Here is a 21,150-nt window from a genome sequence, read left to right on the forward strand (position 1 = left end):
GGCAGTTTGCAGTTGATAGTAAGCTGTAGCTAGTGCTATCCAAGGGGGATTGGCCCCCAGGGCAGGGTGAGTGCCTCATGTGTGGACCATTATAGGCAGCAAAATGGCCATTGGTCATGGAGCTCATAGAGCAAGGGTCCCTCAACCCTGGGCCGTGGACCAGTACCAGTGGCATTAGATTCTCATAGGAGCACAAACCCTATTTGGAATTGTGCATGTGAGGGATCTAGGTTGCATGCTCCTTATGAGAATCTAATGCCTGATGATCTGAGGTGGAACAGTAGAACAGTTTCATCCTGAAACCATTCCCTTCCCCCATCCATGGAAAATTATCTAATTGTCTTCCACAAAACTGGTCCCTGGTGCGAAAAAGGTTGGGGACCACTGTCATAGAGGATTTCTGTGTGGGTCTAAGTTTAAGGTATAAGGCCTTTTAAGGCTTTTTCCACCTTGGTAACTTTGTACCGTGTATTTGTGTGTGTGTGTGTGTGTGTGTAATAACTGTACATCTGTATAGCTTTCCTCTGTATGTGACATGGAAGAGAATCATCATTATGAGTTATTTAGGTGGTAGTGTATATGAGATTTGGTGGGCCTTGCAATTCTATAAGCAGTTGCTGCTCATAGACATTGCTGTATTGGGGTATACATTATGCATGTTGCAGAAAGGATTGTCAAATTTAAAAATTTATCTGATCAAAGTTTGTGGAAGGGACTCCCTTAGAGTTGCAGTATTGGTTGGTTGGAGCCAGCTAGTGGCTGCCTAGAATAAAGGTGGGGAGAGTTAGTTTGTTTTTGAGAAGAAAGCTGAGCTAGGTGACTCTGCTTAAAAAAGGAGTAGAAAAAAGAAGAAACCACTGATCCCACTGATCTAGGGGATTATTGTGTTGTATACCACTGATTCAGAGCAGAGTAATGATGGCCTCTTAGTGCGTGATCTAACCACTTCCTATAGGTATGATGGTGTTGTATGGCAATATATGTTTTCATATGGCTGTGTAAAATACTTCAGCATATCAGTTGAATACCATTTATTTATTTTTCTTTTTTTACCTGTAAGGGGGTGGTGGTAGTGGTTAGTGGCCTGAATGTTTTTACTTGAATATAGAGGCTGTCATATTTTTTTCTTGCTGCTGTCAAGTCCCACACATTTCAAAGAATTAGAGCATTTCATAGCATCTGAATGCAGAAGCTAAACCCTCCCTTTCTTTCTTTCACCCTCAAGGTTTCCACTTGAGCGGCACAGTGACAGAACCTGCAATACAATCGGAGCCAGAAACTGTTTGCAACGTGGCCATCAGCTTTGATCGTTGCAAGATTACCTCAGTGACCTGCAGCTGTGGAAACAAGGACATATTTTATTGTGCCCATGTTGTGGCACTGTCTTTATACCGCATCCGCAAGCCAGATCAGGTCAAACTGCATCTTCCTATTTCAGAGACTCTCTTTCAAATGAATAGAGACCAACTGCAAAAGTTTGTACAGTATTTGATCACAGTGCACCACACAGAAGTTTTGCCAACTGCTCAAAAATTAGCAGATGAAATTCTTTCCCAAAATTCAGAAATCAACCAAGTTCATGGTGAGTATAGACATTGACTCTTTAAATTTCCTCTCTGGATCCTTTTTCACTTATAAATTCAATTCTTCTGCATAAAAGTGAATTAAATGTGAAATAGATCATCAGCATTGCTCTTAGTTGGTCAAAAGAGATTTTTACATTTGTATTCTAAAACATTTCTTTTGAAGTGTTTCGTGTTAGGTACCAAGGCTTTTGTGCTCAGAAAAATCATACATGTTAAAGCTTGGTTCTTATACTTCCTTTAAATTTGTCACATTTCATCAAGTACTAGATATTAGTTATGCAGAACACTTACTTAATTCACCCTTGTCAATACACTGACTTGTGCATATTGTGAATTTTTTCATTTTCTTTTAAAATTTATTTTCCAGTGCAGGAAAGCCTCTGACCGGTTGCCTCATATTAGGAAAATAAATTATTTTTGGAAAAACATTATAGCTTGTTTAGAGAGAATTTAGAATATGAATATTTTGTATAAGAAAATACAAAAAGTTTTCTTTTAAAACTTTTATACATTGAACATGTTTTCTCATTTATTTGTGAACGTATTTATCGAGTATTTATTTTATGCAGTGCAAATATGTCAACTCACAAGAATATATAGGTGCAACTTTTCAGAAATATACTTACCACTTATTTCATAGAGTACATTAATATAGGACAAGTAATGTTGCCAAACATAGGTTGCTTGTGCTTTTAAAACATTTGGACATAATTTTAAAAATATTTAAAAATATGTTGAAAAAAGTAATGCAGTTTTGACTAAACAGCTCTGGGACCTAACGTTACATTTCTTTATTTATATTGATTTGAAATCTAGGACTAGTCTCTCAACCCTATTCTTTTAGGTTTTCTTTAGTGGTTAGTTGACAGCAAATAAAAATGTTTTCAGAAAAGCAATTTGAGGTCCTTTTTTGTAAACTTTAAAAATTATGAGATGTAAAAATGTAGAAAAGTACATACAATATGAATGTGCAGATTAACAAAGTGAACTGTCACCCAGGCCAAGAAATAGATGGCTCTTATCACTTGAGAGGGCTCCAAGTACCCCCTTTCAGTCACAAGTTCCTTTCTCTTCCCTTGGTAACCACTGCCTAGTTTTATAGTAATCACTTCTTTGGCGGTTTGTGTTTTGTTGTTTTTGACATTATTAAACATTGGTTTAGTTTTATCTATTTTTAAACTTTGTGTAAATGGAATAATACAGTATGATTCTTGTATTACCTGACTTCTTTCACTCAGAATCATGTTAAGGTTTACCCATATTTTTTCACATACCTGTAATTTATTCATCTGGAGAAGCACTGTCTAATAGAAATATAACATGAGCCTTCCCATAGAAATAGAATATTAACCACATGCATAGTTTTAAATATTTTAATAGCCACATTTTAAGAAGTGAAAAGAAACAAGTAAAATTAATTTTGGTAGTATGTTTTCTTTAGCTCAATATATCTAAAATATCAATCCAACACATATCATAATATTCATAAATATTCAAGAAAAATGTTGTTATTTTACTTTTTTTCATGTTAAGTCTGTGAAATCTGGTTACTGATTCACACGTCACAACATAGCTCAAAACACTAGTAGCCACACTGCAAGTGCTCAGTAGCCACATGTGGCTAGTGGCTGCCATATTGGACAGCACAGCTCTAGAGTCTTCTGAGTATGAGAATACTGCTATTTATTTGTCCTTGTTCATTTTTGATAGGCCTAGTTTTGAAAGGAGCTGCTGTAAACATTCTTTTATAAGTCTCCTGGTGCTGTGAGATACTTTTAATGTGGTTTCTGTGTCAGAGGAAATCTACATAGTTGTATTTCTTCTAGTACTCCCCATATCAGGCTCAGCTTTACTAAAGTAGCTATCATAAGGTGTGTAAAGCGTTTGACTTGGTAGAGTCTGCCAATGTTAAATAACAGGAGTGTAAACAACGCTGCCACAGAGGTACCTTCAGCCCTCCAAAAGCACATGTATTCAAGGACTTTTTCAAGTAGGCTTCTGCTCTGTCATATCATCTGCCTCAAATCTTGCTGCCGTGTGAAAATTCGGGCAGCTAATGGTCATCCCAGAGATTTCTCTGTTTGTGGCTTCTTATTAAATTGTTCAGTGGAAGCAGAGAACAGAATATACCATTTCTTCAAACTTTTATGCATTCTCTCTTTTCCCTCCTTTTTTCCTTAGGTCATGTAATCTGCTAGCATCACTTTGTTCTCTTGAGTTTTAGTAAAACCGAAAGCCTCCATCAGTAATCAGTTGCTTGTTCTGCATTTGTCTTGCTTGTTTTGAAGGATAGTAGCCCCTAAAGTTTCTTATCAGAAAGATTTTTCAATCTATTTTGAAATAATGGAACCAATGAAACAATGTAAACTAAGGTTGGATGAGAGAATGTGTTCACGTGATGTAGTTCTTTCATAGTTTCTAAAATAGGAAAGCCTATCAAGGATAGATTGTAGGTTACCTTTAGACTCAATATGATTTCCTAATAACTTGTGTATAGGAACAGCTTCTCCAGAGCAGCAAACTTGAGCAGTTTATCCCGCCAGCTTTCTCTTCACTTAATTTATCATCAAATTTGCTCCCAGCCTGGAAATGGACCAATTACATGAGCTGCCTTCCTGCCTTCCATTCTAGTTTGACAAGTGGTAAAAAAGAAGAGAGGTAGGAAGCAAGCCACGGTGACCTTAAGTGATGAAATGGGAAATCTGCTCCCTGGAGGGTCTTATTTTAATTGTTAATGACTTAATAGGTGGTGGGATTAAAAATGTTTTGCAGTTACTTGACAACATGATCCCACCTGCCTATAAAGATCTGTATGTAAGCCACTCTCTTTTAAGAAATCTGTTTCTAAAGCAGTACTTTCTTGTGTGGTTTTGTGGATACACTTTTTCTTTGAGACAAAAGTCTTGAACATTAATATTGGGAGGATTTAATTTTTCTCTTTGGAAAAGCATCACTTTTACCTCGCATAGATAAAAGGGTTAAGATATGATTTAGACTTGATTAGTTGGCATCATAAAGACAAGATTTAGCTTATCCAAATCTTTTTTGGAAGAAAGACATAATTTATGAGTAAATACAAAATATGTTGATAACAGTAGGTTTTTCCCCTTTTTCCTTGTGAACTTATCCTATTAGTTGTTCTTAGTAGTTGTTTTTCTTATTATTTTGCAATATTTTATTTTTTAAAGATTTTATCCTGGGGAATTAAAGTTTTTCAAGCCTATTTCACACACATTGTTCTTCACAATTTCCTTGTGAGCAATTTTCTTGTAATTTATAATTGCAATAGTGTGTAGATAAAGAAATCAAGGAGAATGAGTCTACTGACTTATCCAAGGTCACAGATTTAGTGAAGGTTGTTGGAATATAGTTTGTCATCATAATAGTTCAGTCCTTGTCAGTGGACCTTTTAACATTTCAATATGTTTTCATAAAATTTTCCACATAATTTTAATTAGATTATAAAATTAACCACTACATGCTAAAAGAGGCTGTAAGATAGTTAATGTTAATGGCCCACCAAGGAGATTGCCAGTTGTAGTTCTGTATTTTTAAAGCAAAATTGTTTGCTCTTGGTTTTATATTCTAATAAAACTTTCTAGCTTCCATATTCTTAAAAAAGAAGCTGGTATCTTTGCTAAGTACTTTTCTAGAGTCTTATAGATTTCCAAGTACTAACCCCACCCTCGTAGTTAATTAACTTCGTCTTTTCTGTCCTTTATGCTTCCTATTAAAGGAGACGTATTGTAGATTGGTAAACTGTGGTATAGAGACAGAACACTGAACTTGGAATCTAGAGGCCTAGAATCCAATATTGTCTCCACTACATATTACCTGTGTGACCTTGAATGGGACCCATTTTTTCTCATATTTAAAATGCTCTTAATCATCTCTAACAGTGTTGGGATAATTTTAATCATACAATGGATAATTATAAAAAAAGATAACTGACCTTACCTCATGTTGGGGTATCCACAAGTACTCATCACAGTTAAGAAGAGAGAAGCCAGTAAAGGGATGGATAATACTATAATTGGAGGTCAGATTGCTTTCCCTGACTTTCTGGCACATATTTCCTCTCCTACGGCTTTTCGTACACTAATCTTCCTATGGGCTAGCCTGTACTGGGTAGACTACCACAAAGAGGGACAGTCTGATGGGAAACTGTGGCCTTGACCCCAACCTAGAATAGAGGAAAAGAGGAAAGGATCATTTCAGTGGCCCTTTTACTCCCAGGAGCTGGACTAATCCTGAAAGTAGCCTAGACTTACCCCTCACTTCCCTGTCATGTGTCCAGAGATGCCATCTCAGCTAGCCAAATGTAGAAGGCATTTATTCACATATTGGATGAGGGTTGGCACATGACATCTAAGATCTCTTCCAGCTCTGTGTCTTTGCTGGTGGTTATCTACAGAGGCATAGGAGGAACCTAGGCTCCGTACTGCAAAGGCGTACCTTCTGTAGCTTCACCCAGGTGTGCATTCATGTGTTGTTTTTCCATTTCAATTTGTTTGAGCATGGTTCTTATACAACCAAGACCAAGAATTCCATTTAAGTCTGCCTGTCCTGCTTAACCTTGCCTCTGAGTGCCTTTGTGTCCTGGCCGCCTTGTATATCAGTCTATTCAGACTATCTCAGATATTAGCAAACAAACAAGCAAATCTATTCAGCAGTCCCATCTTCATTGCATAGCTCTTCATTTTCATTTGATTATGAGATTTATCAGGCTGAAACTGTGGCCTCTGTATCCTGATAGCTTCTCTAAGCACAATACTTAAGATGTAATAAGCACTCATATTTGTTAAGCAAAAAGTATGACTGTCATTGTTCGTTCTGTTTTGTTCTTAGTAGGAAGTTGGGTATTTATTCTTTAAGGACATGTACACTTTTATGTTCCAAATCTACCAGTGAGTGACAGCTGGAGTCATCTGATGGAGGACTCATGTCACATTTTCCTTCCTTTTATTTCCCTGTGGATGGTTGTGTTTATTGTAATTGGGCTTGCCTTAGCAACCAGTTTTTGCAGGTATCCTAGGGAGGTAATTTGATTATTACTATCATACCCTTTCTATTGTATAATAGAACATTCTGGTGTTGACGGTTGGTAAAACAAAGGTAGGGTCTCCTGATGGTCTATATAATTAGCAAATATATTCTGTAGGAGATAGTTAAAGTTGCTTTCACTATACTATCTTAAAGTGCAGTAGAGTGAAACTTAAAGAAAATTTATAAAAGAAGAATTCATGTAGTAGTATTGAAGTATCTAAAAAGGCAAGTCCTCATTTTTTCCCCATTCCCAACAGCTCCCTTAGTCTCCAAAAGCACCCTTATTCTCACAAGGCAGCCACTGTGGACAGCGTGGTTCATATTCTGAGACATTTTTCCTCACGAACACACATGTGCAGACATGTGCACACATATATATGAAGTTTTAAAATAAATAATTCAGAAAATGGTCTTCAGTTTTTTTCTCTTAATATATCATGAATATCTTATGTTAGTACTGTTATTATATAGTTGTTTTAATTGTAGTACAATATTTCATAGTATGGATATATTTAGCTTTTAACTCACTGAATGACTTTGAGGAGGTTGTTTCCATTTTTCCCTGTATATACACTGTTGCTGTGACCATCTTTATGTGTGAGTGTGTGTGTGTGTGTTTGTGTGTGTGTGTGTGTGTGTGTGAATTTGTATAGATATAACAGATTCTTAGTAGTAGAAATGCCAGAATGAATGATATATGCATTTTGAATTTTGTAAGTACTGCTGAACTTCCCTTCAAAAATTACCAGTTTTGCCCTTAAGTTATAAGTAAAACTTGATGTTTCTATAAGAATGGTTTTAGGCTGGGCTTGGTGGCTCATGCCTGTAATCTTGGGACTTTGGGAGGCCAAGGTGAGTGGATCACTTGATGTCAGGAGTTCAAGACCAGCCTGGCCAACATGGTGAAACCCTGTCTCTAGTAAAAATACAAAAATTAGTCGGGCATGGTGGCGTGTGCCTGTAATCCCAACTACTTGGGAGGCTGAGGCAGGAGAATCACTTGAACTTGGGAGGCGGAGACTGCAGTGAGCCAAGATCGCACCACTGCACTCCAGCCTGGGTGACAGAGCAGGACTCTGTCTCAAAAAAAAAAAAAGTGTTTTAAAAAAACATGGATAGAATCTCTGATCATGTACAGGGGATCCTTTTTTTTTTCTTAATATGAAAAGTTTTTACATTTCACTTTAGTGCCAAAGAAGTAGTGCCAAAGAAGTAGTCTTTGAACTTATGTCTCTTAATTAGGAGGAATTACAAATCTCTAGCCCATGAGGAATTTGTTGGGGAATGCAAAAACAGCCAGGTTACTTTTAGCCCAATACCCTTCATCCTCTCTTCACCTCCACATCTTGCCTTCCCTCACACTCTTTGGTCATCTCTGACACCATCCCAACCCTCATAATTTAAAAAGATTGGTGCCAGCTGTGATCAGTTTCCTCGCCCATCCCTCTCTCATTTAACTGGCCTCCAATCTCTCCAGGTTGACTAGAAGAGCTTATTATTCCCATCTCCCCCACAATGGCGTTTCTCATACCTCCCACTGTAAGGCTATTCAGAGTGTTTAAGAGTTCCAGCTTTGAAGTTGGACAGCCTAAATTAGAATACTGGCCCTTTGCTTTCCAGCTTTGTTAACAGGGCCAAGTAACTGAATGTCTTCAGGCCTCAGTTTTCTTGGTTGTAAAATGTGGACAATGAAGAGTGCCCATTTCATAAGGTCAGGATGGTCAAGGAGTAAAAGTGAGCTGCTATTACCATCATCATTGTGATGTGGCAGTTGATAGGAGTCCTTAAGGGCAGCGGTAAATATTTAAGGAAAATATTTGTGAACCAGCTTTTTTTTTTTAAGTCTTTTAAAAATAATTGGAGCCAACTATTCTTAAAGCCTGCAAACATAGTTGATCTCTTTTAATAAATCTGAAGAGTTGGATTATGTAATAGTAAGACTTCCTGAGAACTTTGCACTTAAATATTTATATTTGTGTACTGAGTAATCATTAATACATTTATTAGATAAGTAATGGAAAATAACTTACCTGAAAAGCACTGTGTTTTTACTCTGCATTTTTTAATGAGCATTGGAGAATGTACAAATACTTTATTGCTTTTTTCCATATAAAATACATGATTATTTCTGTACATGAATACGTATACTATTGAACTGCTGAAGTAAATTAAATAATGAGATGAATAATAAAGTCAGAAGAGAGGAAAATAATAGAGGAGGGGCCATAAACCCTGACAGGTCTATTTGAGTTCCCTGAGATATATGCTGATGGCAGTGCTGCTTATTTACTTCCTTGGCATTTAGCTAAAAGGAAGGTGGTTTGTTGGGGGAGCAGAACCCGGTGCACATCAGCCTTTCCTCTGTCATTAGCCTCCACGGTGAGGAAAATGGCTTGTCCTCTGACAGCTCCTGGAGAGGACACCACACTATATTATGGCAGTAGAATTATGTGGAGTGACCATAGAGGATGGAAGGTGACTAAAGATCTGGCTGTTTCAACTACAACAAAATTGTAAATTGAAATAAAGGCATTACTTACCCCTTTGAAAGGAGACTTTAATTCAGGATAAAACTTAAATCTTTTCTAAAAAGTATGTTTATTGAGTGTACATCATTTTTCAGAGGTCTTCTAGTTCTCTCCTCTCTGCTGTAAAGAAAGACATTTTTTTGAGTCTGAGTCGCTAAAGTTTGTTGTCTTGCCTTTTCCCTCTCAGTGCCAATGGTTGATGTCAGGATTTTGCCCGTAAGACAGGTCGACCAAGGCCTTTGTAAGCCACCGATTTAATGTTTCCTAGCTTTAACAGCAAACACTAAAACTGTAGGAGATGGCCTTCTCTAGGTCCCCAAAAGTGGCTGAATTAATCACCTCTGCAGTGTAGACATCTGCTGCCTAAATTCTGCCTGAATAGGTTGAATTTGAGAAATCAATTTTAACAAAAAGGGACACTGCTACATAAATATAAATTTAAAAGCATTATTTGGAAAACGGTGTTACTGTGGCAGTTGGGTCACAGTTAAGATGAAGATGTTAACTTTGTAAACAAAAGACCTTCACTCTTTCTTGTTTTGAATTTGTTTTCCAGCAAAATAAAATAAAATAAAGCACTAAGTCTTCAATTAGAAGTCAAAGCTGTGAATAGCTCCATGCACCAGACACAGCATAAGCCAATTATAAACGTGTCTTCATAGCCCAGTTTAAAATCTGCATAATGATATGGTGATATCTAACACCTATAAGTAACTGTATCCATGGTGTGAGACAGATACCTCATTCGGTATGGCGTATATATGCTTTATTAGATACACTGGAGAGGTGTCTGTCTGATGCCTCAGGATCATGAATACTTTTAATTATTAAGATCTAGAATGTGCCACCCTGCTTAACATTCTCTCCAAACAGAATTCTACCGCTCCCACCATTTTTATCCCCAGCAAAGATTCTGATTCAGTGGGTCTGAAGTGGTATCTCAGCATCTGTTTTTTACAATATCTCTGGCATTTTGATATGCCCTTACTTTTGAGAACTACTGGGGCAAGCAAGTTTGATGTTGGGATAAATCACAACTAAATCAGAACCAAATCAAGCAGTAGACAGGGGACGCCAAAGACTTAGATAGTGGTCCTTCATGTCCATGAATTCTCCTTTGCTTTCTGCCTGTGACATTACATTACCAAGGTAGGCGGGTAAATCAAATTCACACATCCATCTCTGGGAATGAGAGACCAAATTGTTCTACTTCTTTTTCCAACAGATAATTTGACTTTCCCTGAAGGCCTGAAGAATTAAACTTCAGTAATAAAATGCCCACAAAGATTAATTATACAGTTGTAAATATTATAGCATTTACTATTATAAATAAGAGTAAAAACATGATAGACTTTAAAACATTTTAATGGACCATTTAATTTACATACATTCAGATTCTGGTTCCTGCCCAACGGTGGGAATATCTAACAGCAAATGTATAAATACATGAGTTATGTTTCTTTTTGCATTCCCTTCTCAAAGCTAAATGTTGAGAGGTTTGTCTTTGATTATAGACAGCCGTTAACAAGTAGACATAAATTTTGCAAATCTTACATTTTATATAAGGCTTAGGCAACATTGTAATGCATGTAATCAAGACATGTTAGGATTTAAATAGTTAAAACTATAAGAATAGAAAACCAAATACTGCATGTTCTCACTCGTAAGTGGGAGTTGAACAATGAGAACACATGGACACGGGGAGGGGAACATCACACACCGGGGCCTGTTGGGGAGCGTGGGGGGTTAGGGGAGGGATAGCATTAGGAGAAACACCTAATGTAGATGACGGGTTGATGGGTGCAGCACACCACCATGGCATGTGTATACCTATGTGCATGTTCTGCACATGTATTCCAGAACTTACAGTAAAAATAAATAAATAGTTAAAACTTAGCATTACAGTTAAATACATGAATTTGCACTTTTGGGGGAAATTATTGTTGTAGACATTAAATTTCCTGGTCTATGATGTATAGGGTACATGTCTTATTCCTAAAATGTTGAGTTGTATATAGAGTGAATTTATGTTTTATCTATCTACTAGTTATCTTTGCTTGCAGTCTTATGAGTAAGTCAGGAAGATTTCTGTATCACATGAGCAGATTTCTAATTTTTATTGCTCAGTTAATTTTTTTTCTTACATTATAGAATTTTAGAGTTAAGGAAATGGAGGCCCGAAGAGCTTAAGTTATTTGCTGGAAAATGCATAGTTTTTCCAGACAGTGCCTAGAACTGAAATCTTCTGAATTCTAATCCATCCTCTCAACTGGTATGTAGACTTTGGGCCATTTTTTTTTTTCTCCAGTGCATTTCCCTCTTGCCCAGTACTATCAAGAAGTAAGTTAATTCTAATACTAGCTTACCCCAAAAAAATAAAAATAAAAACCCCAACTTAATGTATCCATTCATTTTTCTGTTGCTTATAACAGAATACCAGAAATTGAGTAATTTATAAAGAAAAGGAAGTTATTTCTTATAGTTCTTGAGACTGAGAAGTCCAAGGTTGAGAGGCTGCATCTTGTGGGAGCCTTCTTGCTGGTGGGGACTCTGTGGGCACAGGGCGTTGCGTGGTAAGGGAGCTGAGCATGCTAACACGCTAGCTTAGGTATCTCTTCCTCTTCTTATAAAGACACCAGTTCCCTCCCATGATAACCCATTAATCCATTAATACATTAATCCAAGAATGGATTAATACATTCACCAGGGCAGAGCCCTCATGGTCCATTCACCTCTTAAAAGGCCCCACCTTTCAATACTGCCACAATGGGGTTTAAATTTCAACATGAGTTTTGGAGGGAACAAGTATTCAAATTTTCTTAAAACTTGAGAAAACATAATTGATGTATTTATACATTTGCTATTAGATTTTTCTCCACTTGAACCAAAATCTGTATCTATGTATGTATATATGTAAATTGTCCATTAAAGCAATTTTAAAATCTGTCATATTTTAAAAATATATAATAGTGTCTGGGTATGGTGGCTCACACCTGTAATCCCAGCACTTTGGGAGGCCGAGGTGGGCAGATCACAAGGTCAGGAGACTGAGACCATCCTAGCTAACAGGATGAAACCCCGTCTCTACTAAAAATACAAAAAAAAAAAAAAATTAGCCGGGCGTGGTGGCGGCTGCCTGTAGTCCCAGCTACTTGGGAGGCTGAGGCAGGAGAATAGCATGAACCCAGGAGGCAGAGCTTGCAGTGAGCCGAGATCGCACCACTGCACTCCAGCCTGGGCAACAGAGCGAGACTCTGTCTCAAAAATAAATAAATAAATAAATAAAATAAAATAAATATATATATAAATAGTGTATTTAAAACCTATCCAATTTTAAGGAAAAATATACATTGTGTAATTCAAGTTAAGAGTAATTTATGTATTCTTCTATCACTTTTCACTATTAGCATGAAAAAAAATAAGTGGATTATATTCTGAAGTTTTTGGAGGGTATCTGAATGGTGACCCCTTTGCCAGTTCAAGCAGGCCACAGAAGACTGGACCAAATTCAGGTCTACTTAAAATATTTGGCTATTTCTGTGGCAAACCAAGCCCCCAAGTCTTATGTGGATATGACCCAAGCAGCTGAAATGCCTTCAGTCATGCCACAGCAGACAACCCCCATCCAAGTAGTTCTGGGGCAGATCTCCTTGTGGATTTTGGCCTTTGGTGATCATAGAGAACAACTTAAAAAAATGACAAAAATTGAGAGAAGTAACCACTGTGAGGCTAGATGTTTTTCGAGATGGAAGACTGTATTATTTAGCTCAGTTTATCAGAAGGAACAGTGGAAATGGATGGTCAGTAGCTAATTAGAGTTTTCCCTGTGAAGAGGATAAGGAGGGATATGTCAGATTTCAAAGGAGGACGTTGGGAAGAATTTAAAAATAAAAGTCAAGATTCTATAGTTGTTTGGAAAGTCTCTTTTGATACATTTATGTAAAGAATCTATAGGTATTTTGTGCAGGGGTGTGTGCATATGTGTCTGTAGAATCAAAAAGATGGGATGGATTAGGGTCTCTGAATTTCTGTGGGATACAGTTATAGACCTAGTAGTTAACTTCGCATCATTGTGTGTCCTTAAAGCTTTCTGTAAAAGAGAGGCATGCTAACAAATGCCTACAAACACACCAGTACCCTTCCTTAAATATTTCTTTGCTTTAGGGTTGACAGCCCCTGCCCTGATGACCTCGGGGCTCAACATCAGCTCTAGGATCCTGGAGTATGTTCATCGGCAGAAAAAGAGAATCTGGAGACTGGATTTAGCAGTGTGGCTGTGTACAAGTCATAACCAACTTGGAACCTATTTCTCCTGTAGAATGGGGATCATGATCTATACGTGCCTCCAGGGGACATTGTGAGGAGAAAATGAGATAATGTTTATGAGGATGCTTTAGAGTGGTTCTTAACTTTTTAAGTAAGAATTCTTTTTCCAGGGGGGAAAATGTATATGTGCATTTCTCCCTCCCTCTTTTCCCCCTTCCTCGCAGTACTTGATCTCCTGATAGTGGCTGGGTGTTAGGAAGCAATGGTGAGCAGGGCAGATACAATTCTTGCTCTCATGGAGCTTCACCTCTATATACTTGTCCAGTGCCTACTTGGAATGACTTTCTCCTTCTTCTGGAAGACTTGGTCTCTCCAACTCTTCCTAAGAGGCCACTCATTTCCTTTGACATCCTTGCTCATTTACTTATGCAGCCTTTAAATGTTGGCCTTCCTTAGGATTTGGTCCTAGATGCTCTTAAACAGTTTACTGCTTCCCATAGTATATCCAGCTTCCTCCTTGAAATCCTCTTCCCTCTTCTCCACTGTCTCAAGGGTATGTCAAATTCACCATATCTAAAACTAAGCTCATGACCTAAACACTGCCCCTCCCGATTTCCAAATCTTGTCCTTCTCTGGTGGTCTGTGTGTCAGTGAGTTTTTCAGTATTCCGTATGGTTGTTTAATCCAGAAACTCATGTCTCTCTCCATCCGTTCATCTCCCGTGCTTCACATATCCACTTACTCACCAAGTTCTTGTTGCATTTATGAAATCTTGTCAGCTTCTCCATTTCTGCTGTCATTGCTGTTTTTCAAGCAACTATCATCACCCTGTGTGCACACCATCAGAATAGCATTATGTATTTTCGCCCCTCAATTCATCCTCCGTATTTCAGATAAAGTGATTTTTTTAGATACGTAAATATATTCACATTGTTCCAAAATTTTAAAAGATGTTTCCTTCCCCCATGTAACTAGGTTACTTGTACTCTTTAAAATGTCCTTCCAAAATATTTTAGGCATGCATAAGGATATACTGACATGTAAGCTCTTTTATAAACCTCAATATTTATATGTATTTTGTTTATTATCATTTTTTATTTGTATAAATTTTGAGGTACAAGAGTAATTTTGTTACATGCATAGATTTCATGGTGGTGTGTAGTCTGGGCTATAGGGCATCCATCACCTGGATAATGTACATTGTACCCATTAAGTAATTTCTTGTCACCCACCCTCCAACTCTTCCAAGTCTTCATTGTCTATCATTCCACACACTCCATGCCCTTCTGTACATAAGCTGCCACTTATCAGTGAGAATATGTGGTATTTGTCTTTCTGTGTCTGATTTGTTTCACTTAATATAATGATGTCTTGTTCCATCTATGGTGCTGCATGGATGTGATTTCATTCTTTTTTTTATGGCCAAATAGTATTTCATTGTGTATCTGTACCACATCATTCACTGATAGACACTTAGATTGATTCCATATCTTTGCTATCATGAAAAATGCTGTGATATAACGTAGGAGTGCAGGTGTCTTTCATATAATGTTTTCTTTTCCTCTGGGTAGATACCCAGTAGTGGGATTGCTGGATGGAATGGTAGTTCTATTTTTAGTAATTTGAGAAATCTCCATACTGTTTTCCATAGATGTTATACTAATTTATATTCCCACCAACTGTGTATAAGAGCTCTATTTTCTCTACATCCTCACCAACATCTGTTATTTTTTGTCTTTTTAATAATAGCAATTCTGACTGGTATAAGATGATATCTCATTGTGGTTTTGACTTGCATTTCTCTCATGGTTAGTGATGTTGAGCATTTTTTCATGTGCCTGTTGGCCATTTGTATGTCTTCTTTTGAAAAATGTCTCATGTCTTTTGCTCACTTTTTAATGGGATTATTTGTGGGGTTTTTTTGTTTGATTTCCTTGTAAATTCTGGATGTTCGTTCCTTGTCAGGTGAATAGTTTGCAAATATTTTCTTCCATTCTGCAGGTTGTCTCTTCACTCTGTTATTTCTTTTGCTGTACAGAAGCTTTTTAGTTTAATTAAGTCCCATTTCTCTATTTTTGTTTCTGTGCTTTTGAGGTCTTTGTCATAAATGCTTTGCCTAGACCAGTGTCCAGGAGAATTTTCCCTAGGTTTTCTTCTAGTATTTTTATAGTTACAGGTCTTACATTTTATGATGAGACGTAGGAGTCCAGTTTTGGTCTTCTGCATGTGGCTATACAATTTTCCCAGCACCATTTATTGAAAAGGGCATCCTTTCCCTAGTGTATATTCTTGTGAATTTTGCGGATGATCAGTTCGTTGTAAATATGTGGCTTTATTTCTGAGTTCTCTGTTATGTTTCATTGGTCTATGTGTCTATTTTTATACTAGCACCAGGCTGTTTTGGTTACTATAGGCTTGTAGTATAATTTGCAGCCAGGTAATATGATGCTTCCAGCTTTGTTCTTTTTATTTATTTGGATTGCTTTGGCTATTTGGCCTCTTTTTTTGGTTCCATATGAATTTTAGGATTGTTTGGTCTAATTCTGTGAAAAATGTCAATATTTGGATAAAGATTGCGTTGAATCTGTAGATTGCTTTGGGCAATAGGGTCATCTTACCTATATTCTTCTGATCCATGAGTATGGGATGTTTTTCCATTTGTTTGTGTCATCTTTAATTTCATTCATCACTGTTTTATAGTTTTTTTGTAGAAATATTTTACCTCCTTGGTTAAATTTATTCTTAAGTATTTTATTTTGTTTTTTGGTACTTACCGTAAGTAGGATTTGGTACTTAGGTAGATTGTTATTGGCGTATAGAAACACTACTTTTTGTATGTTGATTTTGCATCCTGCAACTTTACTGAATTCGTTTATCAAATTGAATCATTTTTTGATGGAGTCTTCAGGTTTTTCTAGATGGAAGATTGTATCATCCGTGAACAGGGATAATTTGACTTCTTCTTTTCCAATTTGGATGCCTTTTATTTATTTCTCTTGACTGATTGCTCTGAGTAGGACTTCCAGCATTATGTTGAATATGAGTGGTGAAAATGGGCATTCCTGTCTTATTCCAGTTCTTAGAATGCTTTCAACTTTTCCCCATTCAGTATGACGTTGGCTGTGGGTATGTCATATATGGCCTTTATTATTGTGAGGTATATTCCTTTTATGCCTAGTTTGCTGAGGGTTTTTTATCGTGAAGAGATGCTGAATTTTACAAATGGTTTTTCTGTCTATTGAGATAATCATATGGTTTTTGTTCTTTATTCTGGTATCACATTTCTCAATTTGCATGTTAAACAATCCTTGCATCCCTGGTGTAAAACCCATTTGATCATGGTGTATAATCTTTCTGACATACTGTTGGATTGGGTTTGCTAGTATTTTTTAAGGAGTTCTATGTCTGTGTTCATCAGGGATATTGGTCTCTAGTTTTCTTTTTGTGTGGTGTCCTTGTCTAGTTTTGGTACCATGCTGACATTAGCCTTGTGTAATGAGTTAGGGAGGATTCTGTCTTCTGATTTTTTGGAACAGTTTCAAGACAATTAGTATTAGTTCTTCTTCCTACGTTTGGTAGAATTAGGCTGTAAATCCATCTGATCCTGGGCTTTTCTTTGCTGGGAGATTCTTTATTACCGATTCAGTGTTGCCACTCATTACTGGTCTGCTCAGGCTTTTCTGTTTCTTCTAGGTTTTCTAGTTTTGGGGCATATAGTTGTTCATAATAGGTCTCTGATCGTCTTCTGTATTTCTGTGATATCAATTTTAATGTCTCTGTTTTCATTTCTGATTTTATTTATTTGGATCTTCTCTCTCCTTTTCTTGGTTAGTCTATCTAGCACAAACATCATTAATTGCCTGAAAAGTGGTACACTGTGTATACTTTTATTCTCCTTGATTTTTTTTTTCAATCAACAGTATGTCCTGGATATCTTTCCATTGTAATGCATGGAGAGTCTCCACATTCATTTTTATGGCTGCATAATATTTCATGGTAGGAATGTTGAAATTGATGCATATCAGGACAAAACATCTTTTATTGTTTAGAGTATTTCTTTCTTCCACTTTGGATAAGTTGTCATGAATTCCCATTCATTACTCTCAGGGAAAAAAACTAAGCTCTTTGCCAACCAAGGCACTCAGTCTGATCCTGCTTCTTTTCTCCAGGATTATCTTGTATTACTCTTCCTCTCATCTTCTATTCTTGGGTTGCATAGACTGCCTTTTATTTCTTCCATGCACCATGTTTTTTCCTGCCTAAGGGCTATGCTCAAGTTCTTCTCACATGCAGACCCTTCTCTCCTTTCCTGACCTTTACTTCATTTTTAATTAGCTTTTAATCCACTTAAGGCAGATCTCAGCTCAGTGCCATTTCATCAAGGTATGCTTACCCTAGCAATCCAAGGCCCAGTCAGAATTCTCTGATGATAGAGTCTTCCATCACCCGGCCCTCTTCCTCTGAGCAGTTATTACCATTTATTATACATTTATATATATGATTATTAGATTGATATTTATCTCAAAAACTTAAAGGAGAGTTTTTCAATTAGTGGGTGGCCACCTGTTATAGCTTATAAAATCAGTTTTAAAAATTGTGACAAGCCCTCTTTAAAAAATGAAATAGAGTAGAAAATATTGAGCCTTTGCTTATAGTAAGGACACTTGCATCAAATTTTTGCAGATTAATCATATGAACACACAGACACATAAGCATATTAGGCATGATGTAAAATATATTTCTTATTGTGGGTCTTGTTCAGCAAAATTTGAAAGCCCCTGAACTAAGTTGTAGATTCAGTGAGGACAGGAATTCTGTCTAGTTTGTACCGCTATTCTATCTCCAAGTCTAGCAGAGAGGCTGGCACTGAGTCAGGCACTCAGTAAATATGCTGACTGGCTGAATGAATGAATGAACATACACTTTTTCAGGCAGGCTCAGGGATCCACTGCCTTCCTCTACTAGGGACTAGTAGGCCTTGGTTCTAAGCAGATGTTAGTGATTATTTCTTTGGTTAATTGAGTCTGCTTTAGATCATTAGAAGACAAGAAAAGTAATACAAAACCACACCTACAGATGTATTTTTTAAGGGTTGATAAGCAGATGAAACACTGAGGATGAACAGTTTTTAGATCTAATTTTTTTTTGTATTACTTATGAATCTTAGACCTTAAAATACCATTTTATTTTATTGGCAAATAATGAAACAATCTTTACCTCCCTAAATATCTGGGTAGTTTTTTAATTTCTAAGGTAGTCTACACACATAGGGCTTATTACTTAGCTGCTATCTTTGTGTGTACTTCAGCAATAAAATATTTATGCAGTTTGGCAAGGTGATACTACAACCTGGTTTAATACAACAGCTGCACTGCCTGTTCCCATGTGGCTTGATTTCCCTTTTTAATCTTCGGTTTTCTGCAACTAAAGACTTATGTCAGCATGTAGTTTATACAGCAGCAGATAATGGTGAAAACTTATTGAATTAACATAGTAAAGAGAGAAATACTCTGCTAAGTTTACTTGTCTCATATTTTTCTAAAGTCTTTGAAAGACATTTTTTCCAGCATGGCCTACACAGCTTTATAAACATCATGTATTTACAATGAAACACTTTTGTGAATTTGATTTTTTAGAGAACCTATAAACTCATCTCCAGAGATAATAGTCTCTGAACCTAAAAAATAGAAATATCTCAATTCTAAAGTAATCTGCATTTGACTTAGCACAAATCAGGAAAGTTCTGGAAATAAGAGTGATCCTTGTATTTAGTTTGTCACAAATTTGTATGTATAATTGAAATTGAGATTGAATTAAAAAGTAGGCAAAAAGAGTCTTAATTAATCCTTTTAGCACAGAGTTTTTATCTAGCCTGTGTGTTATTATTTTTCTTTCTATTTCTAGGTGCTCCTGATCCAACAGCAGGTGCTAGTATAGATGATGAAAACTGCTGGCACTTAGATGAAGAGCAGGTTCAAGAACAGGTTAAACTGTTCCTTTCCCAGGGCGGGTACCACGGATCAGGGAAGCAGCTTAATTTGCTCTTTGCAAAGGTATGATTGTCTATTTCTAAAGAAATATTCTAAATATATACATATATAGGGACTATCTGAATATGATCATGTCTACAATAGGATAAAGACTTTTAAAAATTAAAGAACAGGGTCTTAGCTGACCAATAGAAACTTTTGTATTGTAATGCAAGCTATTTTTTCCTTAGGTGATCTTAGACAAGATATGGGATATTTTTGTCTCTCTCAGTTCCTATCAATAAAATGGTGATAATTTATACAATTTTGAAAAACCTCTTACAATAATAAAAGCAAAATAATTAACAGTGTTATTCAAAATGCCATTTTTTTCAAGTTTTTCCCTTTCTAGTTAATTTTCCCAAGAGAACTTAGTTTTATAATCCCTAAAATGTGCTTTAATTATTTAGTTTAATAATGTCAGTATCTGTAAGTTAATTTCAAAAGCTTGAGTTTTAGAGTCATATAGATCTCAGTTTGAATCCAAGTTCTAGATCTTTCTAAGTATATAAACCTTGGCAAATTATTTGTTAATTTTCTCATTCAGAAAATTAGCTAATAATAACATATCTCCTAAAACTGTTGTGATAATGGTGTTAAATGATGCTGTCTACTGTTCATCTTCATCATTAAAAATTGATGGCTCAATAATTTAATTTATCTGGGTCATAAGTTCCTTGTGAGCGGAAGCTGTGTGTTTTGTTTATACAGAAGTTTCAGTACCATACACACATTTGTAAATACTGGATAAAATGCTTTTTGAATAATATTAAATCATTATATTTTCATTGGGGGTATAGTCATCATTATGATTAATGTATTAACATTGGTTTTAAAGGAACAGATAGCTGTTCATTGATGCTTTTGTTGAATATCTTCTCTAATATTTGTTATAATTAAAAGTTTTTTTTTTAGTTCAAAAGAATTAGAGTAAATCCTGTTACTGGGTATGGCCAGGAATAGTGTATTCTGCTTAATCAATACCATGTTCATAAAGATTTTTCCTGTATACCATATGTAGATTGCAAATTTCCCCAGAATTAGATTACAATAAAATACATTTAACTCTAATACTACTTTACACATGATTTAAGCATTCTTTGGTGATTCACAGGCACTTCAAACTCATGTCATGCCTCCGTGTCAACAGTCTGAAAATTAATTACCATTAGGCTATAGATGTACATGAGTGCTGGTTAAATAGAGAGTTCTGTTTTATATACTTAAGAGTAAAGTGTTTATTTTCATTGCTGTTGCTGTGTAATAGGTTAGAAATCTACCAGAAAAAATAAACATTAAATCAAATCCATAAATACTAATAATGTAAAAGGTTTAGTATATTTAGACACACAGGAAGTATTTCATATATTCTTATGTTAGAAACAGTTCAAAAGATGTATTATTAGCCTGGTGTGCAGTTGTTCTTTTTATCCCTATATATTATATACACATTATGTATGCCATATGAAGTAATAGCAACCTCTAATTTTGGAATTAGCTTAACTTGAAGTTAAGACAGATACGGGTTCTGATCCAAGCTGTTCCCCTTGTCCATTGGGTGAGTTATTTTACTTCTCTGAGGCTTGGTTTTATAATTCATAAAATGGGGATTATAATCTGGCCTATTTTACATGGTTGTTGTGAAAATTAAATAGTAAGTATCAATGTAAAACTCTTTAACATTGTATCCAATAA

The 21,150-nt window shown here is 36.2% G+C and overlaps 1 protein-coding gene across 4 annotated transcripts in view; it reads left to right on the forward strand.

Moving 5' to 3' along the window:
• The window catches only part of ZSWIM6 (zinc finger SWIM-type containing 6), a 213,915-nt gene that overhangs the window by 139,198 nt on the left and 53,567 nt on the right, over nt 1–21,150 (forward strand). For 3 of the 4 annotated variants that reach the window (NM_020928.2, XM_047417453.1, XM_024446139.2), the window contains exons 2-3: nt 1,226–1,582; nt 19,331–19,479. In NM_020928.2, the coding sequence (NP_065979.1) occupies nt 1,226–1,582; nt 19,331–19,479 (506 nt within the window). Of the gene's footprint in view, nt 1–1,225; nt 1,583–19,330; nt 19,480–21,150 lie in introns of those variants that run through there. The other variant, XM_017009677.2, reaches the window with a different exon arrangement.

Source organism: Homo sapiens, chromosome 5, assembly GCF_000001405.40.
Source record: "Homo sapiens chromosome 5, GRCh38.p14 Primary Assembly".
In the NCBI taxonomy this organism is placed as follows: Eukaryota; Metazoa; Chordata; class Mammalia; order Primates; family Hominidae; genus Homo; species Homo sapiens.